The sequence below is a fragment of the Homo sapiens genome, chromosome 8 (assembly GCF_000001405.40).
Source record: "Homo sapiens chromosome 8, GRCh38.p14 Primary Assembly".
Lineage (NCBI taxonomy): Eukaryota > Metazoa > Chordata > Mammalia > Primates > Hominidae > Homo > Homo sapiens.
The window spans coordinates 141,775,728-141,801,682 of record NC_000008.11 but is presented as its reverse complement, the minus strand read 5'-3'; the positions used below and the strand labels follow the sequence as shown (position 1 = coordinate 141,801,682).

The following is a 25,955-nucleotide window of genomic DNA, read 5'->3' as shown; positions in this document are numbered from 1 at the left end:
TATTGAGAGGTCCAGCAGGGGCCCCCTGGCCCCAGCATCCCAAATCCAGACCAAGTAGAAACCAGGCCTGGACCTGGAGCCAGAAAGAAGCAAAAACGGGACCAAGACCATTTGCCTGACCTTTCCTGCCCGCTTTATCTCCCAGGACTGAGACTCCACTCCTCTGCCATTTGCCCATATTTTTCAAAGGAATTTCTGTGATTAGATTATGGTGAGTGTCCTGGAGGAAATAAAGAGGCTGCTGTGGGGTGGACAGGGGAGAGCTCTATCAGGACCTGAGTCTGAGCGGAGAACTAAAAAAGAGAAAGGCCTAGTAACTTGGAAAATATATATATATTTTTTCAGGCAGAGAACAAAAGTTACAAAGGTCCTTGAGTCAGAACAGGGTTTGGTGAGCTCAAGGTTCACAACATAGCCCAGTGTTGCTGCAGCATCATCAGGACAGGAGGGGCTGGGGATAAAGAAGAAGAGGGCACAGGCTGAGTCCTGATCCTAATCACACACTGAGCCCTGACCCCACCCAGTCACAGACTGATCCCTGGTCACACACTGAGTCCTGACCCCAGTCATAGACTGAGCCTTGGTCACACACTGAGCCCTGACCCCAGTCACAGACTGAGCACTGGTCACATACTGAGCCCTGACCCCAGTCACAGACTGAGCCCTGATCCTCATAACATCCCAGATTCTGATCCCTGGTCATAGAGTGAGCCCTAATGTCTGGTTGCAGATTTATTCTTCATCACCGGTCATGGGCTGAGCCCTGAATCCTGGTCACACACTGAGCGTTTCTTGTACCTGGCTACAGAATGCTGCTTAGGCCAGGAAGGGGATCAGAAAGATGACTGTAGCTGGCTCTGCAATGAGAGATTCCACCCCTAGCCCCAAACACTGGGCAGGCGCACAGGCTGGCCTGTCCTGCACATGGCCTGGCTCCCCCTTAAGCAGGCCCATTAGTCACAGAGGAGGGTTGGGCCGCAGCACGAGGCAGCCGCGCCTGCGTGCATCTGCAAACCCACCAATTGGTCCACGATGCAATGCTAATTGCTCTCAGTGGTGCCTGGTGCTTTGTTAAAAATTTTTAATGTTGATTTTATTGAAAAACAGAAATAGCACAACATATGCTCTGAGCATCCTCCGCTCTAACCGGCACCCTGGATGGGCCCCTTTACAGCCCCTCCTGAGAGCCTGCAGGCGCTGATGAAGGCACGGCCCTCAGAGGCGTCTTATTTTCCTGCCATACTCCTGCTAGGCGTCCCTCAAAGGGCCAGGAGGCGCGGGGGCAGAGAAAGGTGGGGAGACGCAGGCCTGAGCTCTGTGTGGAGCCCGGGGCAAGGACTTCCAGGCAGGCCCACCTTCCTTCCTCCTTGGGGAGTGATGGCTCAGGCAGGAGTGATCTCTGGGAGCTTCGCCTGAGCCTTGAGCCTCTGGTGTGTCCGTCTGGGAGCGCAGGCACCAGGCGATGATGGTGACAGCCATATGGCTGCTGTCCATGCTGTCAATGGCATGATGATAAGGCCAGGGGAGCGGGGCTGGCGGCCACATGTGTGCTGTGATGTGTGAGGTGACCCATTGTCCACTCCGGGCAGATGCCTGCTGTGGACAGACCAGAGCCAGGCCTTCCAGGAAGGACCCAGAAAGCCAGCAGGACAGAGCACGGAGCCGCCTCTCCCTCCCTGGCTCTGGCCCTAGAGCCTGGACCTGCTGGTCCAGCCCTCCACCAGCGGACCCCGTCCATCCCTAGTCTCCCCACAACGAGTCGTTCTGTGTTTCCCACTCCGCATTCATAGTCCGACATGCCTGCTCCCTGTACCCACCTTCCCACCCAGACCCTCCAGCCGCAGTGAAGAGTGAGAACCACGGCCTGCCCAGCGCACTCCCCTGCCAATCAGCTGCCAGGGCCCTTGTCATGCTCCGGGATCTTGGCTCACCCACTTCCCCCTTGGCCCTGGGGCTGACCCACACTCCCATGTCAGCTGGTCATGCACCCCCACATGCACGGGTTGGCGTTGAGGGGTGACATGGCAAGGAGGATGGCCAGGCAAGGAGGGGTGGCCGCAGGTCCTCCTCTGTGGGGGTGCCTGTTCCCTCGTGCCTCCCTCAATTGTCCATCACACTCGCTGAAAGCGTCATCTAGATGCAGAGGGCCCAAAGGAACCTGGGTTCCCACCTCTCTCTTTGTCTCTGTTTCTCTCTCTCTCTGTCTCTATTTCCCTACATCTGCCTACCTACCTATCTATCTATCTACATATCATCTATTATCTATCTACCTATCTACTGTCTACCTACTTATCTACCTATCTATTATTACATCTATCATCTATCTATCTCATATTTATCTATCATCTATCATATCTATTTATCTATCATCTATCCATCTATCATCTATCATATCTATCCATCTATCATATCTATTATATCATATCTATCATCTATCATATTTATCTTATATTTATCTATTATCTATCATATCTATCTATTTATCTGTCATCTATCCATGTATCATATCCATCTATCTATCTATCATCAGGAAGGAGGGGTGCAGTGGAGAAGACCCTTCAGCCCAAGGTGTGGTGGCGTCCATGGGGTCAGGATGGCCTCTCTTGGGGGTGTTGCATGAGCCAAGGGCTGAGACGTGACAGATAGAGAGGACGGCAAAGGCAAGGCCGCCAGGACCAGCAAGCAGGGAGGCAGGGATGGAGGAAGGGAAGGGAGGACCCCACAGAGCACCTGAGGAGCCTGGAAAGTACGTGAGGGCATGGGTGATGGCGGGGTCAGGTGTAATGTGGGCTGTGGGAGGGTCACCTGGCCTTGTAGGGACAGTGGGGTTGTGGGGACAATAAGAGAGGCAGGTTTGACCTCCAGTGCCACCCCTGCTGAGTTGTGTGCAGGGGACACGTGGCTGACCCTACTCAGCCTCGGTGATCCGTGTGTGCCGTGCGCCCTCTTAGCTCTGGACACAGTGGACTCTGGGTGGGCTGACGTGTGACAGTGGCTGGGCCCCCGTGAGTCCTTGAGCCCTGCTCTGCCCAGCCACAGTCCTGTCACATGTTGGTTGACCAGGCTCTGGCCTCGTGACACCTGCTGGGCTTCCCCCAAGCAGGAGCCTTGAAGGAGCCGTGGAAAGTGGAAGGTGGAAAGTGGTGGCCAGCTGTGGCCCCTCCCTCAGCCCCTCCCCACTCCCCCACACACTCAGAGCAGCTCTTCCCCAGGCTCCATCCATCCCCGGGCTCTGGTCATCCACCCTGCAGCCTCCCCCACACTCCCAGGCCATAAGACCAGAAGGTTCAGTGTCTGCAGTAGCCAGGTGCCTTCCCGTTCCTCTCGCATCCCCCAAGCCCCGCTCTTCCCCTCTTCGCCTCTTGCCTGGACAGAGCTCCAGCCTGCTGAGTGAGCCCCTCTGGGACGAATCAGGCTGCCACTGTGGGCAGTTAACCCTGGCCTAGCCCAGGTACAGTCCTCCACCCAGCTCATGCTCAGAGACCCCAAGTCTGTCCCTGTTTAGAAGAAGGAAATTCAAGAAGAATAAAACCAAAACTCTCCAGTGCGCATTCAAAGCCCTTCACCAGCAGAGCCCATCCCTCCCCAGTCTCCCGACAATGAATCCTTCCATGTTTCCCGCTCCGCATTCAGAGTGTAATATGCCTGTTCCCTGCACCCCCTTCCCACCCAGACCCTCCAGCCACGGTGAAGGGTGAGAACCACAGCTGCCTCCTCACTCCCCTCCCCATCAGCTGCTCGGGGTGGGCTACAGAGGCCCTGGGCCAAGTCTCCTCATTCTGGCTCCCAGATAACCTTCAAGGACACCTCCCGGGTCCCACCAGGGCTATTGTATTGACCTCCCGCCTTCCTGCCGCCCAAGCCCCCAGGGCTGCCTGGAGACAGATGCAAGCTCACCTTTGACCTTGTGGCCCTTAGGCACCCACCCCGGAGGTTGAATGGAGTCTCACTGCCCTGTGCTCACTGAGCACAGTGTGTGAGGACCCGCACTCTAGCTCCCTCCCACCTGCCCCGCCTCGTCTCTCCAGGGCTCCCCTGCCTCCCCTGCCTTCCCACAGGAACCCCCTTCCCTTCCTTGGGTCATGGAATTTCTACCCACTCCTCAAGAGCCCTTTAAAATACTCCTCCTGAGAAGCCTCCCAGATCTGGCCATCCAGACAGTAGTGTGCCCCGCTGCAGCTGCTCTCCACTGTGGGCCACGGTCAGCTCGCTCCCACCTCCACTGGGGGGGCAGGGAGGCAGAATGACCTCCCTCTCTCTGCCAACCACAGAGCCCAGTGATAATCACAGGATTGACTGAATACCTGGGCATGATGCTGAGGGGCTGAGCCCACGTCTGCAGGGTGGGGAACCCAGCAGAGGGACGGTGGGGTAGGAACCAATAGTCCCCAGTGGCCACATGGGACCTCGCCCATGGGCAGGTCCCAGCCTTTCCAGGGCCAAAGACAGTCTCCCCCATACCCTGGTTTTACAGCATCCACAACGTGACCTTGAGAAAGCACAAGTGTGCCAACCCCACCCGCACCCCCACCACCCTCTCCTGTGAAACGGGAGCAAGACTGTCCAGCTCTAGCATCTCCACGCTGGTCCTGAGGCCAATCCTAATCACGATACTAAGCTGTGAGGCAAGCTCGAGCATCAGTGGCTACTGAGCCTTGCCCTGGTCAGGCCCCCAGACACACTCCTTCCACATGTGCTATTGTATTTCAGTACCTGGCACAGGAATGCCAAATAAATCCTAAAACCTCCTGATGACCTTCATTATGGACTCTGTGCCTCTGTGTCTGCAGTCCCGGCTTCTGGCAGGGCACCAGCCAGCCTTCTGCTGTGTGCACCCCTCCTCCCGCCTCCCATTCTGAAAGGTGCTAAGTCTGACAGGCCCTGACAGCTGAGCTGGGAAACCCAGACTGCAAGGGCTGTAAATTCACCAGGCTGCTCCCCTGCTGCTGCAGGGCCTGCCTGCTGCCTGCTCCCCTCCTCCAGAGCCCATTTCTCGGGGCCAGATGTAGCCATAAAGCATGAGCCCTCTGAGAGCCGCTGGCAGTGATTCCCTGTGCCACTGGATTCCCTGGCATCTCAGACCTGTCAGGGTGACCTGTACCAAGACCCACCGGGTAACCCTGGGGAAGGAGATTTCCTGCACACTGGACCAGCTGGGCATGCTCACACTGGGGCTGTGGAGAAGAGGGCAGAACTGCCTTTGAAATTCAGGATTCTGCAGCCTCAGCCTGCTGAAGCCACCCGCCCAGAGAAATTCTGCATACAGCCGAGTTCAGGGCCAATGAATGAGCCTGCACGGAGTCGCAGCCCAGGGAGAGATTGAAAGGCCCCATTTAATTGGAAACACCTGCTCTTCAATCTCGGCCGCACAGGCCTCAGAGAGGGAATTAGAAAGCCCAGTGCCCAGAGTGCATCTTAAGCAGCCGCTCCCCCAGCTCCAGCTACCCACACTCTACTCAAAACCTGTCACCTGGAGGAGGGAGGCGTGGAGAGGGTGGGGCTGAGGGGTCTGAGGCTCCTCTCCAGCCTCTGAAGGGCTCTTTTGTTCAAGAAGGGACAGCCTGCTCTGTGGAACAAGATGCAAGCAACATGCGGGGAATCCGTCCACCTGGGCAGCACATTTCACATCTGGAAGGAGTCCCTGCCTCTGGAACTGTTTGGGCAGAAAGATGGGGGCTCTGGCCCCAATCCCCAGTGCCCTCAGAGGTGAGCTCAAGCTCCACGGAGGCACTGATTTCTCCTTTGTCCTGTCCTGGATGGGAGATAGGATGATGACCAAAGGCTTGGATGCTTCTCCGATGCTGGAGTCAGCAAACCTAAGCCATCCCTCTCGTCAACGCCCCCACCCCAGGCCTGCAGGGTTAGGATGGGGCACTTGAACCCTCTCCCTCTCTGCTCACATTGCTCAGAGCACGCACCCTTTGCCCTTGCCAGTGTGCTGCTGAGAGGACTGGCCAGGCTTCTAGGACTGAGTGCTGCCAAGGACAGAGCCATTGCTTTGGTTATGAGCTGTAGGGTTGCTGTGTGCCCTACTGCACCACAACCCCATGTGACACCTGCCACTCATCATCGTCTCCCTCTCGGGCAGCATCAGGCCAGTAGCGGAGGCCAGTGTCATATGCTCCAGACTTCCCTCGGGCCAAGGCTCTTCACCCTGGAAAGGACAGTCCTGCAGGTTGAACTCCTGGCCCCATCAGAAGTTACAGTAAGCCAGCCAGCAGGCCTGTCATGGTAAAAAGCCAACTCCTTTGTCGGGTAAACAGCCTGGCCAGATGGTTTCCACCACCCCTCCCATGCTGAGGGTCTGAGGACCAGGTGCCTATACCCCTAGGACCACATAGTCCCTGAATAAGTGGCCTACCCCATCTGCACCTCACCCAGCCATTTGACCTCACGATAGAAGAGACAGGAGGGAAGGGGAGGGGACAAAGGCCAGGGCAGACTCAAGAGTTTTGTTCTCTGGTGGGTGAAGGCCCAAGGGCAGGGAGCCTCCCACCTTTCTAGATACAGGTGGGAAGCTGGCCAGGGCTCACCCAACTCTGGAAAATCATCTGATGAAGCCTCAGAGGCTGGGGGAATGCCCATTAGGGAGAAGAAGATGCCAGACCCAAGGGACATGGTGACCAGCAGGCCAGGTCCAAGCCAGCAGGGTTTGGGCTGTGGGTACATCATGGCAGCAAAGGCTCAGGGGGGCCCAGCAAGGTAGAGGTATTCACACACCAGGTGCCACCTAGACCCCACAGAGTCACAAGGCCAGGGCCAAGTTGGCAGAGGGAAGCTGTCTTAGTCTATTTAGTGTTTTGCTGTAACAAAATACCTAAGGCTGTGTAATTGATACAGAAAAGTTTATTTGGCCCATGATTCTGGAGGCTGTGAAGTCCAAGACCAGGCAACTCGTCCTTGAGGGCTTGGTGCTCTTCAACTTATGAGGGAAAGTGGAAGGAATGTGGTGTGCAAAGGCACCAAACACAAGAAGGAACTCGCCCCATCCTGAGAGTGAGAGCTTACGCCCCAGATGGCACCAGTCCATTCAGGAGGCATCCACCCCCATGACCCCATCACTTCCTGCTAGGCCTCTCCTCCCAACACTGCCATGGGCAACTAAACTTCGGCCTGGGTCTCGTGGGGGCAAACCACATCCAAACCACAGCAGAGACTGGGGTCTGTGGGCCTCACAGGGAGCAAGGCCAAAGTCCCATCAGCAGCAGTGAAGCCCAGGGCCACAGGGCAGGAAGGAGCTGTCTCACACCCTCCAACATTTACTAGGGCCAGGAATGATGCTGGAGCGTGATCCTTGATCTTGAGGAGTCCACAGGGCATGCTTCAAGTCCTTAAATCTCTCCTGGGTAAGGCCCCGGGCAGAGGCTGCAGCTGGGAGAGGAGGGACCAATGGGGCGGGAAGCCTGGCCAGCAGGCAAGCCAGGACAGCCCACTCATTGCTTCCTACCCTCATGAGACTCTTGGTGGAAAGGCTCCGGGCTGCAATGGTGCCTCAGGATACAGAGATGCCCCCCAGCCAGTGTGACCTTGCAGTGTGTTCCAGCCCAGGCTTCAGGGTCCACAGGTCCTTCGGCAAAACAGAACCATCTCCTGCTCTCTGCCTGCACCACACCTGGGACACGCTGACATTCTGAGCACTGTGAGGTATGTTGCTGGCATCTTGATCTCGATATCCTGGCACAGTTCCTGGCCCAGCACTGGTGTTGAATGAATGCATGAATGAATGAGTGCAAGAATGAATAAGTGAAAGCATGCATGAAAAGAGAGATGTTGGCACTGAACCCCAGCCTGGAGAAACATTGCTGAGCCATATCTGGAAGCCCCTAACTCTGTCCCTCCCTCAGTCCTCTCACACCCACACTTGACCCTCCTGGGACACACAGAGGCTCATCTCCCAAGTCCTGACCCAAGGCACTGCTGGCTGGAGAGGGAGAGTTTTTGCAGGGGCACTCTTCCCCAAGCTGTCCCTCTGCCGAAGGCTTCCCAGAGGTGTCAGTCTGCCAGTCTAAAGGATAATCATTATGGGGACATGGGATTTAACTCTGCAGGAGGGGTCTCAGGGGCAAGTGGCCTGGGAGGGAGATGGCAGGGACCCTCGTAGGAATGAGGGGAATGTGTTGTGCACTCATATGGCACAGAGGCTTTTTCAGTGGCTAATTTTTCTGGGGGCTGTGTCTCCTTGCGCTTTACACTTGGCTTTATTAACGCCTTCTCTCCTCCCCAGATTCTAATCGCCCTCCAGAAGCAGCTGCTATTAGCTCCTCTCCTGAGCCTCCGAATCCCCGATGCTCAGCAAAATTCCCCTCTGATGGAAGCAGCTGTGCTCAGACGCCGCCCGTCTGCCTCCAGAGCTCATCAAAGCCCCTCAAAGGGAAGATTAGCAGCAGCTCCCATCAGCGGGGGCATTGTCGCCATTCAGCGCCTAAGCCATGCTTGGCCACTCGGGCCTCATGGAAGACACAGAATTAGAGAATATTGGACTCTTAAAAGCACAGACTCTCAGAAGCATAGGCTTTCAGAAGCATGGAATCATCCAATCTTCTCCACAAATCAGCTTAGGGTGTTAGAATTTTAAGGATGCGTCCTTTTAGAAGCTTAGACTCTTAGAAATCACCTCAAATTTTATTCTGATTAAGTTTAGGGTGAAATAGGTAAATCTTATCTTTGACACTGTCTTAGAAGCCTGGCATCTTAGCTTATTAAACCTCAGAATTTGAAACACCAGTGAGCTGCAGAAACCGTATCATCTGGGGGGCATCAGAGGGAGAGGAGCCTGCAGCCCAAGCCTCTTGCTCAGTACAGAAACCTCTCCGGGAGCCAGTGTGTCTTGCAGGCTCCCCTGCCTCTCGCAGTGGAGCAGAGCTTACAGCTGGCATGCTGGTCTTGGTGGTCTCAAATGCTTCCCTCTCCCAGCTTCAGATCCCAAGTCCAGGCAGTCCCAGTGTGGGACAGGCACTCTCGCTCTGCTGGAGGTGATGCTTTCAGATCCCACCAGGGCTCACGCCCAGCCTTCTGAGCCCCCACAAACAGACTGCCCTCTAGGAGGTCCCGGGAGACCCTACTCTGGCTTTCAGATGTGTCTGAGCCTGGAATCCTTTGTTCCAAGGAAGCCCAGGACCACCCACGAATCAGAAGGGGCTGTGGGGATGGGATTCTGGGTCCCACTGGCCTCCACCATCCCACAGGCCTGACACCACCCACACCCGGCCCACTGTGGCCCTGGGGGCTCCATGGAGCACAGGGTGAGAACGTGACTCCATGTGCCGGTCTGGTCTCACAGCCCGGCCCTGCCCCACAAGCACCACACACCCCATAGTGGACCACGGGTTTGGGAAGGATGGCACCCTGGAGCCCAAGCCAGGGCCCTCATGAGCTAAGGGACCTCAGGCCACCCTGGCACCCACCCATCTGAGTCTCAGTGTCTTCATCTGTGAAATGGGCCCATCAGGCCTGTGAATCCTTCCCAGGACTGTGAGGCAGCAGCTCTGCTCCAGACAGAATGCCGAGGAGGGTGGCAGGGTGCAGTAGATGCAGAGAGGGTTTGAGGTACCTCTGGAGACCACTCAGGCAAGGTGCAGTCCATGCAGCCGGGGAGGAGGCAGAGGGGCAGTGTGGATGGCACCGGAGGCCAGGTGGGAGGACTGAGCAGAACCTGGGTTCCCCCTGTGCCCAGCTCATCAGGGGACAGGGAGGTCCCCCCCACAGCAGATGTGCTGGGCTCCGGGCGCCTGCCTTCTTCATTCCCACAGGAACACACACACCAGGCTGGTGATGCCTCAGGACCAGAATCACAGGCCTGGATGCCTTTCCGGGTGGCCGAGGGGAGCAGGGCAGAGTGAGTGGAGCCCACCCCTTCCGAGGCTGTCCAGGGAGCCAGCCTGCCTGCCCACCTGTGGGCTCTTCAGAAAGGGAACCCTCTCAGGGCACAGCATGAGTCAGAGGGGACCCTGCCCAGGCCATGCCACCCACAGCCACCAATGCTGTTAATAACTTGGCTAGGCAGGGACCTCTGGGCCCCGAAGGCCCCCAGGGGGACAGGTTCTGTGGGCTCCTCTGTGTGAGTCCCTCCTGCAGCCCTTTTCTTTCTAGGCTCACCCACTGAGATGTCCCCACCACAGCCCCAACCCATATCCCCAGCCCCCAGCAGAGGCACAAGCCTGGATAGAGCACTCGTCCTTGGGACTCCCCACTACATTTACAGAACCGGGACAGACTACAGGTGCAGCATTGGGAAGTCCTTTCCTGGGATCCCACCCAGTGCATCCCTGCCTCCACCCCCAAGGCCTCTGCTGTGGTGCTGGCCCCATTCTGGACATAGCCACAGCCTCTCTGTCGCCCCGCCTCAAGGCACACCCCCTCCCAGTACCCTGCCAGTCCCTGCTGTCCCTAACACACCCACCTGGCTATGCGCTTCCCAAGTTAAGCCCCTTATGGGCCCCCAGTGACTCACACATCCAATCTTCACTACTGCCCTTGGCATAGATGGCTCCCACCCTGTGGCCAGAATCTAATGGCCCACCTCCTGCACCCTCCTTGAGCCTCATGCCCCAGCCATGCCAGGTGGCTCTCTAGCTCCCACCACCCACCAGTGAGTTTCTTGGCCTCTGAGCGTTTGCACAAATATCCCCGCCACCACTCCCTGAGATGGCCTGACCCCTAGGCCTGTCCCGTCTGCCTGTCTTCTCGGCCTGTCCACCAAGCCTGTCCTCTCAGCCTGACAACCCAACCTGTCCATTCGGCCTGACCACCTGGCCTATCCCCTCAGCCTGTCCCCTTGGCCTGTCTTGTCAGCCTGTCCCCTCGGCCTGACCACCTGTCATGTCCTGTCAGCCTCTCCCTTCGGCATGTCCCCTTGCCTGCCCCTCGGCCTGTCCCCTCGGCCTGTCCACTCAGCCTGTCACCTGGCCTGTCCCCTTGCCTGTTCCCTTGGCCTGTCCACCTGGCCTGTCCCCTCAGCCTGTCCACTCGGCCTGCCCACCCAGCCTGTCCACCATGTCTGTCCCCTCAGCCTGGCCCCTCAGCCTGTCCACCAGGCCTGTCTCATTGGCCTGTACCCTCAGCCTGTCCTTTTGGCCTGTCCACCCCGCCTGTCCACCAGGTCTGTCCCCTCAGCCTATCCACTCAGCCTGTCCACTTGGCCTGTCCCCTTGGCTTGTCCCCTCAGCCTGTCCCCCCAGCAGCCTCCTCCTGGCAGCCCTGCATGAGTGTGGCTACCCCTGCCCTGGGACCCTCCAGTGCTTCCCAGCCCTCTGCACCCCCCCACCTAGACAGCGTGGAGTTGTGGGGCCTCATCCCACTCCACCACCATCTCTCATTGGCAGGCAGTCTTGCTGGCTGTTCCCACAGCACCCATAGGGGGCCTGAGATGCCAGCTGCATCACTCGCCCTCTACTGATCGGAACTTGACATTCAGAGAGGTCAGGTAACTTAGGCAAGGTTACACAGCTCCTGGGTCACAGACCCAGCTGTGCCTATTCTAACAGCCTCTGACAGTGGTGCCTAAAGCTGACCATGTGGCCGGTGACCGCAGTGGTCCCGCTGAGGAAGGTACCCTCTAGAAGTGGCTGGCGCAGCAAAACAGTTTCCACGTCTGTAAAGTGGGCTGACATTCATACGCACCCGACAGGCTTGATGTGCAGACTGAACGAGTAAGGATGAAGTGCATGCGAGGCAGCTTGCTGAAACCAGGCCTCAAGCTCAGCAGGGGCCCAGCCAGCGGGGCGGCAGCGGCAGGTGGAGCAGGGTGGCCTGGGGACAGTCAGACCCACTCAGGACTTCTCTGAACCTCTGCCTCCCTCTTCCACACCAGGGAAGGGAGAGCGCTCATTCCCACCCCCACACTCTCCCAGTTCCTGTATGCTGTGTGTGGGGGAGTGACTTTCCATCCACGGATGATATTCTAGGTTTCAATTGTCTTTGCCAAATTAACACGATTTTACATTTCAGAATCACCATAGGACACCTAGAATTACTGCTCTTCCTGTCATTGCTTACCCCGATCTTATTACAAGGTCTGCATGCTAGAGCGTGCAAGGCGCATGTAACATCTGCATTCGAGAGCCTGCAAGGCGCATGTAACGTCTACATGCTAGAGTGTGCAAGGCACGTGTAACATCTGCATGCTACAGCCTGCAAGGCACATGTTGCACATATTTTCATTTGTGTTCTTGATAACATGGCGAGGAAAGCCTGGCCTGAGCTCCATTTCTGAAAGGAGGGCACAGAGACACAAGGAGGGGGCTCAGGGCAGCTAACTGAAGTCAGAGCCAGATAGGAGCTGGGCAGTAGAGGTCTCGGCCTCTTGCATGCCCAGCCTCCATCCCCCTCTGGGGTGGCACCCAGCACTTCCTGGGGGAGCCTTCTCTTCCCGGCTCCGTCCCCGTGGTGGTGTATAATGTTGCCATGCCCCCAGGCCCCACCTGTGCATGAGCACGCAGCCCTGCCTGGCCCGTCAGCAGAGCCTCTCCTCTGGACTCAGTGATTGGTTTGGAGGTGATCATGGGACTCCATTTGGGGACTTTCCCTGGAAGTGTCAGGGGAGAGGAAACCTCTTCGCCTTGTGCTGGCTATATCCTTGGGTATAAGCCAGGTGTGGCCCAGCCTGCCAGAGAATGGCGGCCTCTCAAAGGGAAGATGAAAGAAGAGACAGAAGGCAGCGACGATAATGTTGGGGTGCCCGGGACTTCCCTCTTTTGCTTGAGCCAGTTGAGATGGGTTTCTGTCCCTTGAAACCAAAAGATCCTTGAAAAGCACTTCAAATGCCACACTGCCCTCTCCACAGGTCCCAGGATGAGGAGGTCAGGCCTGCAGGAGGAGGTCAAAGCCCCAGGAAGGGAAGGATTTGGATGTAGGAAGAGGAGGGCACAGCAGAGGGCACCTCTGCCCTGGCCATGCCTGCCCTGCACTTCCTGGCATTCAGCCCTTGCCCTCTGATCCCTGGAGAAGCCTCAGAGCGGGTCACACCCGAGACAACAGCCTGACACCCGACCTCACCGAGGCCGCTGGACCACACTGTCCAGCTGTGCAGGAGGGTAGCGTGCAGTCCCATCTTGGCTAATGACAAACATCTGTCCTCGCGCAGGAGGCATTTGCGTGTCATCTCAGGAACACAGGGCCTGTTTCCCTGCCAGGCCCGTCGACCATCACAAGCCCATTATGGGTGAGTGAAGTCGTGTGAGTCAGCCTCCCAGGGGCATGGGGCTGAAATGAGCTGCGCCATGCTGGGGAGGGGGTGGCTGGGCCAGCGGGGCTGAGTCAGCGTCGTTAGACCTTGACTGTGTGTCAAGCAACTTCTGTGGGCGTGGAGCACGGAGGGGAGAGGGGAAGAGGAGAAGAAGGGAAGGGAGGAAGCGGGGAGCAGCCCCTGCAGACAGGGAGAGGAGAGCTGAGCAGGGAAGGAAGGAGGCCGGGCCATGTGCTTCACCATGGAAACCTCGGCCTGCAACCTGGGTCAGGACCCTATGCTCTGCCAGAAAGCATGTCTCAGTACAGCCTGGCCCTGAGGTCTGTGGGGCTGGAACCCCACACCAGTCGCCTCCTTTCTGGGGATGCGGGTGGAGGAAGCAGACGGCTGGTGAGCATCAGGAAACAGTGTTGGAGGGGCTTTTTCTAGAATGTCCCATCAGCACGGAGTGTCTGACGGCCCCCACAAATGCATGGAGCAGAGGGTTAGTGGATTGGGGCAGGGAGCACATGGACCTCCAAGGAGCTGGGCTCTCGAGGAGGCAGGGATGATGCAAAGCTGAGATGTAAGACTTGGTCTTCATTTACCTACGTCAAGGTCAAGGATCCCAGGCAGGTGACCGAGAAACATCTCACGATCAGCCCACGTGGTGGGAGCAAGGGTCGGAGCCACGGGATATCAGGACTTGGTCATGGCGTAAGGACAGGACTGGCCCAGAAGCCTGACCTCGCTCTAGGGCTCCAGATCAGGGCTGGCCCCACTCCTCTTGGCCGGCGCTGCAGCTGGCCCAGCCTCTGGCTCCATGCCGTCACCTACTCGCCTGTGACCTTGCCCTGCTGGCTCCCATTGCAGCAGCGAGGGTGGCCTGAGTGCTGCAAGCCCCTCTCTGGCACTGCTGGATGCCTCCCTCCCTCCCTCTCTGTTCTCTGCCCATCTGACTCACGGTCACCGGTCACCGCTGCTGTGAGAGTCAGTCTCTAAGCTCAGAAGCCAATTAGGAGAAATCTGTCGCCAGCCCCAGCTCTGAGGAGGCTGCTTCCTCCCCTCCAGCCAGGATGATTCAAAGCAGCGAGTCCCCAGCAGCTGTGGCAGCACCCGCGCCCGCAGAGCTCACGGAGGAGAAGCCGTCCTGGAGGATGGGACCAGCTTCCCTGGGCTTGCAGGCCCTTCAGGCGGCCGCAGAATGAGCCCAGTGCTAAATGATGAGGGGCCGAGCAGGCCTAGGGCTCTGTGGCTTTCTTTCTAGTCCTTACCAGCTCTCGGGAGGGCCACTGGCTGTTGGCAAAGCCAGGACACTCACAGATCAGAGGGGGTAGCCGCAGGAAGCTCTTGGATGGTTCCAAGCCCTGGGCACTTGCAGGGGAGGAGGGCAGCCCTGTGGCTGCTGATCGGCGTCCGTCTCTCCCCTGCCCTCCCCCTTAGCTGAGCCCCTGCCCCCAGGCCAAAGCCACTCACGCAGAGGAGCTAAAAAATCGTGGTGTTCGATGATTCCAGCACATCAGCAGCCATTGTGGGAGCTGGGGGGACAACCGTGTTCCCTGCTGGGCAGGGTGACAGGAGGGACCAGGAGGGGCCATCTGAACCTAACACCGCCTGGTGCTGCTCTCGGGGGCTTCTGCTTAGAAAGCTTGGCTCAGCCTGCCGGGCCCAGCTCCAGGTCACCACCCCCTGGAAGCCCTCACATCCACCCAGCAGGCAGACTTCTTTCTCTGAGCTCCCATCCTGTCTGTCTGGACATTGGCATCCATCACTCCGCCTCCTGCTACAGACTCTTCCCCTGTGGGGTCCACCTCAGACGCAGCCCTGAGTGCGAGGGGCACGAGGATGAGCCCCGTTATTTACAGCTGAGGAAAGGGAGGCCGAGAGAGTGATTTTCCAAGGCCTTAGGGTCAATAGGGTGACAGGATGCAGGCCCAGGCCCCACACCCTGAAGCCTCCCCATAATACGTGCCCCCCACCTCGTAGTTATGCTGGTACCTCGTGGCTAGACCCGTTCCCCTTCCAGAGGGTCTGCCTTGATTTCCCCACCTGCAGCCCTGTTTCCAACCTTAGCAGACCACAGACCCTCTCTAGGTCCTGTCCATGCTCTTCCCCCAAATAGGGCCCCATATTTAGTAACTAAAAGATATTGAGCACCAGCTAAACGTAGGTACATTTCAATTCATCCAAACTTGAATTCCATATAAACAACATGTTTTTAGGACATGTATGTCTGGTGCAATAATTGGGACATACTTATGCTAAAAAAATTAGTGTTCACTATTTAGCTGAGATTAAAATTTAGCTGGGCCTCCTGTTTTCATGTGGAAACCCTACCCCGAAGGCCTCTTTCCTCACCATCTGTGGAATCCTGGAACGGATGGCTCAGTGACTCAGATCGAACCCAGGCAGGCTGGCCCCCAGCCATGTCCATCAGCAGCGCTGTCAGGTCCGGGGCTCTGCGCTGGTGCTCAGCATGCCAGGAGGGCAGGCACAGCCCTGGAGTCCTCCCAGCTCTCCTCTACCAATGTCCTGACACATCTGGGACCTGTGGCAGGGCCTGAATGCCTTAGACTGGGTCAACCGGGGCATACAGGATGGACGGTGCTGCAGCCGCGTTTACCTCAACACCAATCACAGCCACACCTGCCACCCGCAGCAACTGAGTCGGCAGCGGCAGCAGCAGCAGCAGCACCCGGCCCGGCCCACACCCTGCACCAGGCTCTGCTCACAGCACTTAACTCAGTCCTCGAAGGATGCTGGGAAGGAGCTGCTGCGTGCCCCATTTTACGCAGGAGGAAACGGAGGCCTGAGGAGGCCAAGTAACTTGTGTGAGGCTGACTGTTAGTAGCAGAGGCAGGAGGCAGACTTAGCCCCAGATTTATGCTGTTCACTGCCCTCCTCTCTCCTCATGTGCCAGCACGGGCAGGTCTCCACCCTCTGCCCTCTCCCCGTGGACACAGGCCTTCCCTCTCTGCCACACTCACCCCCAGGTTGTGCCACACTCACCCCTCTGGGTTTAGCCTCATCTTTTAAGCCCCCTTGCCCATCCCTTCTGTACCCCTGGGCCTGGGCTGCAGTCTCCTGCTTGGGTGGGCTTCATGCAAGAAGGCTCAGAGCCCTAGGAGTCCAGGCCACATGGATACTTAGAAAGCATTTTCACGATGTTGACAGCGGTGACGACGGTGCTTAGAATTTCTGGCTTAACCTACAGGAAGCCCCACGCTTACTGATGAAACTTTAGAAGCATTTCCATTAGTGAGGAGTAAAAGGAGAATGTTCGCAACTGCCCATATCATCTTCAATTTAATGCCCAAGTGTGAGTCGCACTTGAGTAGTTGACTGTGCACATGGAAGAAAAGAAAAATCCAGGTGTGATCCAAATGTGATAAAACACGTTTAACCAATTAAAGCACAGAAAACTTTTCTATGATCTCAGGGTAAAAAAAGGGTTTTAAAATTAAAGACATAAAGAGAAAAATGATCAGTTTGAATTATCAAAATTTGTAACTTCTGTATGAAAAAGGCCCATAAACGTAATTAAAAGATAAGTGACTTTGTGAGGCAGATTTTTGCAACATGCAGCAAATAATGGATTGATAGCCATAATATATAAAGAGTATCTACAAACCAATAAGGTGACAACCCAAAGAAAAAACATGCAAAGCATCTGAACAGGCAACTCCCCAAAGAGGAAATCTACATCATGAATAGGTAGGAGAACATGTTCACTAACATGTGATGCTTATGTCAATATTCCCTAGAATATCATTCCACATCCATCAGAATGGTAAGCATCTAGAAGATTGACAATTCCAAGCATAAAAAGTTGCACACACTGTTGATGTGAGCAATTTAGAACATGATCCTTTGGGAGACCATCTAGGGAAATCGAGTTGAGAACAGGTGAGTCTAGACCCTGCACATTCCCTCTCACGCATGTGCCCTATAGAAGTCAGGGATGCAAGGTGGCATGGCATCAGAGCCAAGGCCCCAAACCCCAGGACGGGCCTCCCAGGGTGTCTCCCAGCTGATCACCCTAGGCAGGCCATGTGCTTTCTCTGTGCCTCAGTTTCCTTAATTGGAAAATGGGCACTTCCCCCTCAAATGTCATTAGGTGAGTTCCGTGAGAGGATGTATATAAAATTACTAGAACAGCCGGTGACAAGCAATGAGCCTAATAGATGACGGCTATTTTCACCATGACTTTATTTGTAATAGAAAACACTGGAAACAAGCCAAATGCCCATCAGAATGGAAATGAATACATACATTTAAATATTTTCACATGATGGAATACACTACAGAACTTAAAAACATATAAAATAGACTTAGATTGTCACCATGGATGGATCTTAAAAATAAAATGTTGAGTAAAAAGAGAAATTGTAATACATTACTTATACCATAATCCCATTTATGTAAATTCTTAAACACACAGTACAATAGAACATATTGTTTATGGAGGTCCTATGCAGAAGAGGTCTAAAACGTGGACTAATTACTCCCTCATTCATGACGGTGGGCTGCCTCCCGGAAGGGATTTTTCACTTGGGGAGGCAGGAACATGAGGGTTTGTCATAAAACCCTTTCCGGCTTTCTGGAGCTTATTGTTGTCAGTATTTTTCTTGTTAAGCTAAGCCCCTCAGAGGCATCCCATCACACTTAGAAGCACCCCTGTTCCCATGGTCCATGAGCCCCCTGCACACCCACAGCCCCGGTCCCTGCTAGCTTGGCTGAGTCAGCTCCTTGGCTACCACTGTCCCCCTTGCTGGTTTCAGCCCCACTGGCCCATCCATGCCTCACACCCCACACCATCTGTCCCCTTCACCTGAGGTCCCTTCTCCTGCTGTTTCCCATTCCTGGAAGGCTCCTTCTTGAAACCTTCCCACTCTCCGGGTCTCAGCTCAATGGCATGCCTGGAGAGGCTGTGCCGACCACCCTGCCTGCACGGGCACCCACCCCACCCTTCACTCTGGGTTTTGTGCAGTTTCGTGAAGTACTCGTCACCCTCTGAATCATCTTGTTGAGAGACCTCACTTGTATCTTCTCTGTCAAAGTCTACCCCAGGGGACTGTGAGCCCCACCAGAGCTGGGGACCTTGTTTGGCTCACAGTGTAACCAGCACCTATTCTAGTGCCAGCCACAGAGTCAGAGATGGAGTGCTCAGAGAGGGTCCTGATGGATGGATAGATGGGAAGATGGACCTATGGATGGACAGATGGAGTGATAGATGGCTGGACAGATGAGTGGATGGATGAGTGGGTGGATGGATGGGTGAATGGATGGATGGGTGGGTGAGTGAACAGGTGGATGGATGGGTGGATGGATAGATGGGTGGATGGATGAATGGTTGGATGGGTGGATGGATGGGTGGGTGAACAGGTGGAAGGATGGATGGGTGGATGAATGGGTGGTTGAACAGGTGGATGGATGGGTGGATGAGTGGATAGATGAACAGGTGGGTGGGTGGATGGATGGATGGATGGATGGATAGATGGATGGATGGATGGATGGATGGATGGATGGGGTGGATAGGTGGATGGATGAGTGGGTGGGTGGATGGATGGATGGGTGGATAGGTGAACAGGTGGATGGATGGATAGATGGATGGATGGGTGGAAATACGGGTGGGTGAACAGGTGGTTGGATGAATGGATGGGTGGATAGGTGGATGGCTGGATGGGTGGGTGAACAGTTAGATGGATGGATGGATGAACAGGTGGATGGGTGGATAGGTGAACAGGTGGATGGATGGATGGATGGGTAGATGGAAAGTATGGAATACAGGAAAGGTGGTAATAATAACAGCATAGCTACAGCTGGCTTTTGTGGTGACAGTGACAGTCCAGGGGCCATTTGGTGACTGAAAATGGTGATAGCAGTGACGACAAAGGTGACAATGACAGCACAAAAGCTTGTCCAGCACTTCTTTCCAGTCCAATTCCCTGTGCTTACAACAACTGACGGTGCCCTCCCTCTGCCATGTGACAGGACAGGGCTGTTTCCTTGACAATTCATTCTCTGCAATGACAGCTGCCCCTGGCGCTTCCCATACAAGTGAGGGTTTCCTCCTGCGTCCTGCCGCAGCCACTGGAATCCAATGCACAGCTGTCCCTTTCCCCAGGCCTCCTGCTTCTGCCGGCTGCCCACGGCTCTTTGGGGTCTCCCAGACTCAATCCAGCCTTCTGGGCTGAGGACTGCCCTCTGGAGCAACAGCGGCTGCGGTGGGGCCAAGCGCCACCCCTTGCGGCCCCACATTGGCACTGGCAACACTGGATGGAACGCCATCGTTACCCGCTCCTCCCTGTGGGTTAAGGCATTACCACCTTCAAGTCACCTTTCATCAAGGCAGGTTCGCCAGATGGGCGATGCAGTAGGAAGGAAGGAAGGAACCGTTGTCTGCGTTGAGCCGAGACTGTGACGGAGCTGGGACCAACAGAGCATGGGCAGGTCTCATTTGCCCCCCACTGGCTCTATTGGGCAGCCACCGTCCACCTGCTCCACCCACTGCATAAGGGGTGGCATCTGTCGCAGGCCATAGACTGCTGGGCCCCACTCAGCCAGCAACTTCCTGCCTTTCCCCTGCCTGGCAGGAATCTCCCTCCTGGGAGAGCCCTTCCCAGAGCTCTCTGCACCATCTCTTTTGATGCTGCTATCGCCATGAGCAACTGCACAACCACATCCTCGCTCACCTGCTTTACCACTGTCCCCGCTGGACTTCCACCCTGCCAGGGCAGGAGCCATGCCGGCTTCCTCACCATGCCGTGCCAGGCTCAGCTCATGGCCGGTACACAGCAGCGCTCCCCTAATGTTTGCTCATGTGTGAATATGTGGATACAGGTCACAGAAATGGAGCTGGGGTTGGAACCCAAGCCCCTCAGACTGGAAACTCTGGGCCATCCCTGGGCACATTTTCAGCTGGGTGGCCTGCGTGGTTAGCATCAGGGTGAGCGGCCTGGGTCTGAGAGCAGGGGAGTGAGACCCTGCCGAGCCTCTCTCGGGTGCTCCTTGCTCATTCACCCAGCCTCTGTCCCGCCTCAGCCTGCAGGCTGCTTCCTGCTTTGTATCCAGCAGGATAAAGTGTGTAGATGTGCTTTGTGCTTTCATAACGTTGTCCGTGCATAGAGAATCCACTCTGCCTCCCACAGTCTAAGAATTGTCCTTTAACTAGTCACAGGCTGGAAGATCACGCTAACATCAGCTCAAAATCCCTGCGTCATCAGCCCTGCCTCAGTTTCCCATGCAAATGCTCACGCTATTAAAAGCCAGGGGCATCCGCCCCAAACCTCGGAGGACTGGGCCACGTGTGAGCAACCACGACTCCTGGAGCCTGGCAAGGGACATGCTGGGCTGCCCTGGGGATGTGGCTATTCTGACGGTGAGTCAAACCAAAGGACAACAACATGGTGCCCTGCAGTCCCAGCAAAACCAAGCAAGCCAGCATTCCCCAGGCTTCCTCCTGGGTTCCACGTGGGCGCCCTGGGAAAGGGGACTCTCCCAACAGGAGGCCACCCAGGCCCAGCCTCTGCACTTGCTTGCATGAAAAGAGGGCATAGGCAGTCCCAAAAGGAAACCCAGACACGAATTCTACAAAGGGACCCGGTGAGAACCTGCGTGGCTTTGGCCCCCACACACATCGGGGTGCAACCCCGTACTTCACCTGCCTCTCTGGGGGTGAGGCTGAGCCCCTGCACATTAGCATGGCCCCGTGACACCACCCCTGGGGCTTTGGTGGCACCATCCTCCTGGCTGTGGTGACAATGTGGGCTGGCTGCCTCCAGCAGTATGAGAATTGTCCTTTAACTGTTCTCCGGCTGGAAGATCACACCCAGTATCAGATCCAGATCCCTCAGCCACCCCGCCACGCCCCCCAACCAGGAGTGGTGTCTCCCACTCCTAAGGAACAGGGTCCCTGTGTGCAGTTCACACTTCCCTGTGGGGGTGTTGCTCTCATAATGGCTCCAGGACCCACGTTCCATGTGCCCTCCTCTTAGGACCATCCTGCACAGTCCACCCAGGGGATCCCAGTTTGGCCATCTCTCTGGCTCCCAGCCCTGCAGAGCCTTTCCCTTTACAGCCCTAACTCTCATCCCTTGCCCCTGAGTCTGGAAACAAGCCCTTTAGCAATGACTGCTGGTCTCCCTAGGCCTGGGGTGGCCATCCTTGTGGGCCACCTCTGAACGCGAGGGTCTATGTGTGTCTCAGTCCTCCGGTCCATGCCCTGGACACTGGACATTGCAGAGAGCACCCTCAACTACCATTCCTGGTGCATGTGGCTGACCCTCAGCATCAGATCCAGCTTCTGCCGGTACCACTGAGGGATCTCTTGGACACCCCTCTTCCCACCCCCCACCACCTCCTTTTGCTCAGAGACACTGACATTCTCCCAGTGGATCCTGACTGAGAGGCTCCACATTGCGCCTGAGCTAATGGCCCGATTAAGCTCAACTTAGCAGTAAACAAAGAGGCACTGAGATAACGGCAGAGACTGGAAGGGTCATTACCAGAGGGGGCCGGAGAGGCTGAAAACCAATTAATAGATAAGGATTTCCATCCTCCTACCTCCTACTCCCCGAGCTTCCATTTGTCACTGATGCAATCAGAGCAGCCGCCCTCTCAGGAAATGAAAACTCCCTCTGGTGAAGAGCTGGGATGGAAAAGAGCCCAGGAGCAAACAGAAGTCCAGGGAGCACTTGGCATCAGACACACAAGTGTGTCATCGACACAGTCACCTCCACAAGAACGTTATCATCGTTATATAGTAATCACCACCATGCCTACTGTTACCACCACCACCACCATACTACCACCACCATCCTATTACCACAATACCACCACCATCATCACACCACACCAACACCAACAACACCACACCAACACCAACACCACCAACACCAACACCAACAACACCACACCAACACCACCACACCAACAACACCACCAACACCAACACCACCAACACCACATCAGAACACCAACACTAACACCAACAACACCACACCACCACCACCACCACCAACCCCAACCCCAACAACACCAATGCCAACACCAGCAATGCCAGCCCCAACCACAGCACATGGACTAGAACACAACTAACCATGGCATGGCAACACACAACAACACTGATAACAGCATTGACACCAGCACTGGCAGCAACACACAACAACACTGACAACAACACACCAGCAACACCCACACAGGTGCTAATAGCACACTAACTACAACACACCAGCAACTCACACAGACACTAACAACAAGGCACCAACCACAACACACCAGCAGCAACACTCACACACACATTAACAGCAATGCACCAACCACAGCACACCAGCAACACTGACATCACCACTAATAACAGCAACATGGACACCAGCATGCCAACCACACTGACATCCACACTAACAGTGACACATCAACCACAGCACGTTAACACCAACCCAAGTACCACCAACAACATGGGCAACAGCCACCATGATAACACCACCAATATCAACATAGGCAGCAACGCTCATGGCAATGCTGACAGCAACAACAGCAGCAGCAATTCTGGGGCCAGCAACCCTCCCAGCATCATCACCAACAGCCCTGACAATGGCAACCCTGACAACAGTGACATCAACTCTGACAAGAGCACAGCACTGGCAGCAGCAATCCTGACGGCTGCTCTAACAACCCACACCAGCCCTGACAAGGACACTCATGACAACCGCACCCACCCACCAACCACTATTATTTATTTAACAGGTGTTCCTTCATGGCAAGCACTATGCTGTGTGTTGTAAGCATACGTCTAAGTTCATTTTCTGTTGCAATAACAGAATCCCTGAGACTGGGTAATTTTTTTAAAAATGAACTTTTTTTGGCTCGGGTTCTGGATGCCGGGAAGTCCAAGGGCAGGGCAGCAGCTTCTAGACAGGCTTTCACACTGTCTTCAAACACAGCAGGAAAGTGGGAGGGGAAGCAAGTGCGCGTGACAGAGACCACAAGAGTCAGCCCAGCTTGCTCGCAGAACAACCTGCTCTCGTGAGAACTCACCCCGAGATAAAGGCTCTAATCCACTCACAAGGCCTCTGCCCTCATGCCCAGGTCAACTCATAAAGGCCCACCTCTCTATACTGTTATTTTGGCAATTAAGCTTCCAGCACATGGAGGTTTGGGGACATGTTTGGACTGTGGTCGGGCTTAGCCACTTTGCCCTCAGGACAGTCCTGGATGGTGGGTCCATTATTGTCCCCGCTTTACAACAAGGAGCCTGGGGCACGATCAAGTGAGATGACCAAGGTCACAGGAGCCCAGTCCCCCGAGCCCATGCCAGGCCTGCTCTCCACCTGGGGAATGCACCCCTCCTAGGCCTCTGCTCCTTACATGTGGGAGGAGAGGGGATGAAGGCTCTACCTGAGGGGTCACTGCAGTGCAGTGGGCAGGGGCATCTCGGCCATGCATGGAGGAGGGTTGGCACCCACAGTGCAGGAGGCAGGGAGCATCTCACATCGACCAGGCTGGGTGCAGGCCCAGCGACAGGCACTGCCTTGGTGCCGCATCCAGCCTCCTCCTCCTGGTTCCACTTCTCCACCATCGTCACCACCACCACAGCCTCCACCTTCTCAGGCAGCCAAATGAACCAGTTTCAATGTGGGTTTCACATCTCTCAATGAAAATCCGTTCTTCCTTCAGTGAAAGTGCCTAAAATGCCACCACTAAGTAAAATCTGAATCATAAGTCAGCATTATAAAATATTAGATCAGATTTTATATTCATCCAGGGCAAGTTTCATTCTTCCCAGGTCTCCTGCAGAAATGGACATTCCATGGTCAGCTCTGGCCTCTCCAGACATCAGCTCACGGACCCTGGGGCCTCCCAATCCCCCAAGGGCTCAGCCACCTGCTGAGAGCCAGAGGGGTGCTGCCAGGGGAGAAGACACACACAAGCACTTCTAACTTCAGTTCTTCCCATCACCGTGCTTTTCACCACGTCACTGTCACATGGCACTGAAGAAACGCCCCAGAAAAGGGACCCCAAAGACCCAGGCAATATCCATCACTCATTATTTGTACAACTTCAGAAACACAATGTCTTCCTTTTGGCCTCATTTTCTTATTCATTTACTCATTCATCAAATACTGTGTGGAGCTCTGTGCACTTTTCTGGGCAAAGAGCTGCCAGGAAACAAGACAGACGTGGTTCCCGCCTCATGGAGCACATCTGTCTGCAGGGTTTAGGCGGCTTTTGCTGCAGACAATGAATCTCATGCCTCACTGGTTCCTAATGGCCGGCATTTGCTTCTAAGCACAGGAGTCTGCGGGTCTCACCTGGGCCCAGCCAGGCACGCCCAGGCCTCCGGGGCCTGGTTCTGGGCTCAGGCTGATGAGGCAGTAGCCAGCAGGGCTTGCTGGCCTTGCAGTGGAGGGCAGAGCAGCAGAGGGGTGAGAGGAAATGAACAGTGTCCCCAAAGTGGCCCTGACCCACTTCCACCACGTCCTATTGGCCGAGCCATGTTTCACATCCAAGCCCAGCACCCGTGGGCAGGGCCGTGCCCTCCACTCGCAGTGGGGGCTCTGTCAACTCACTCGGTAGAGGGCATAGATGTAAAATTTCAGCCCAGGGAGGGGGCAGAGAGCCCTCTTCCCATCTACTCCAGTGGAAGCAAAACAAAAGTGTGTAGAAAGGCCAGGTTGTGAGAGACGCTAAGATAGGGAAGCAGGAGCTGAGGAGGAGTGAGGGGTCCATGTAGGTCCAAGGGGCCCGAGGGGTCCGAATACCCCGCCCCAGCTCCCTTCCAGGGACTCACTGTTCCCCAAACCTGTGCCACGCAGCATCGTCTACTGCCTCTGAGCTGCAGACGTCACTGGGAGGGCCCCTTTAAATTTTCATCCACTCAGACCAAGAGGACGGGAAACACACACCACAGTGATCAGGGCCCGCTCCGTGCCTGGCTCGGGGCCAACGGCACTTTCGGTGTCGTTTCGTTACAGCCGCACAACCTCGGTGCCACCCCTTTCCACTCAGCTGATTGGAAAGCTGAGTTGAGGAGAGGACGACAGCTGCTCACAGACATCGAGAGGAGCAGAGCGGTCCCCGGCCTTCAGACACACAAGCCAGGCTGTGCCCTCGTGGGGCCAGGGCAGTCAAGGCTGTGATTCTGGGGTTCACCCCCCAGATGAGAGAGCCGCCACTCCCCCAGAGGGAAGCTGAGGCTCGGTGGGGAAGGGACCAGCTCTGATCCAACAGGGTCACCAGGATCCCAGCCCGGGTCCAGGAAGGGCAGACAGGACTGGGTCTGCAGAATTCAGAACCCCCCCTTCCCATTAATTCACGCTCCTCCGAGGATCCCTACCAGGCCAACTTCCAGCCATGCTGGCCGTGCTGAACTCTCCCACCTGAGCTGGAAGAAGGCTCAAGCGGTTGCCACGACCCTTCGTCTTTGAGAGGGGTCTAAACAAACACACAGCCGCCTGCCTTTCTTCAAAATGAAATTGAGTTTTATATGTCAGCATTTGGCCAGGAAGGAAAAAATAAATGCCACTGAAGGCCAAGCTGTCTTGCCCACGTTGTGATCATTTACCAGAGCTTAAATGCAGCAGTTAGCACGGAGTGAAATAAGAGAGCCCCGGGAGGAGATAAGACCCAGCATCTCACAATGGCTTCCAAGAGCAACTGGATGTCACAGTTGCCAAGGAGTTTGGGACACTCTGGACAGGAGAATTGTTGTTTTCCTTGGCAGAAAAATGAGCCTTCCACACACAGCTAAATACCACTAGCTTTGCTTCACCGCTGTGTGGCTGCTTTGCAG

At 55.7% G+C, this 25,955-nt stretch overlaps 1 non-coding gene across 1 annotated transcript, besides 3 other annotated features; it reads left to right on the top strand.

The window, feature by feature from the left end:
* Positions 11,979-12,595: an enhancer, noted in NCBI's record as "H3K4me1 hESC enhancer chr8:142870449-142871065 (GRCh37/hg19 assembly coordinates)". NCBI's record gives its function as "activates a minimal SCP1, AML or CMV promoter by ChIP-STARR-seq in naive H9 embryonic stem cells {active_cell/tissue: H9 hESC(naive)}" and the evidence as "EXISTENCE:reporter gene assay evidence [ECO:0000049][PMID:30033119]".
* Positions 13,828-14,443: an enhancer, noted in NCBI's record as "H3K4me1 hESC enhancer chr8:142868601-142869216 (GRCh37/hg19 assembly coordinates)". NCBI's record gives its function as "activates a minimal SCP1, AML or CMV promoter by ChIP-STARR-seq in naive H9 embryonic stem cells {active_cell/tissue: H9 hESC(naive)}" and the evidence as "EXISTENCE:reporter gene assay evidence [ECO:0000049][PMID:30033119]".
* Positions 14,444-15,061: an enhancer, noted in NCBI's record as "H3K4me1 hESC enhancer chr8:142867983-142868600 (GRCh37/hg19 assembly coordinates)". NCBI's record gives its function as "activates a minimal SCP1, AML or CMV promoter by ChIP-STARR-seq in naive H9 embryonic stem cells {active_cell/tissue: H9 hESC(naive)}" and the evidence as "EXISTENCE:reporter gene assay evidence [ECO:0000049][PMID:30033119]".
* On the top strand, positions 15,370-15,441 carry MIR1302-7 (microRNA 1302-7). The gene has a single exon (NR_031636.1). It is a non-coding gene; the product is annotated as a microRNA 1302-7 (primary transcript).
* The last annotated feature ends 10,514 nt before the right edge of the window (positions 15,442-25,955 follow it).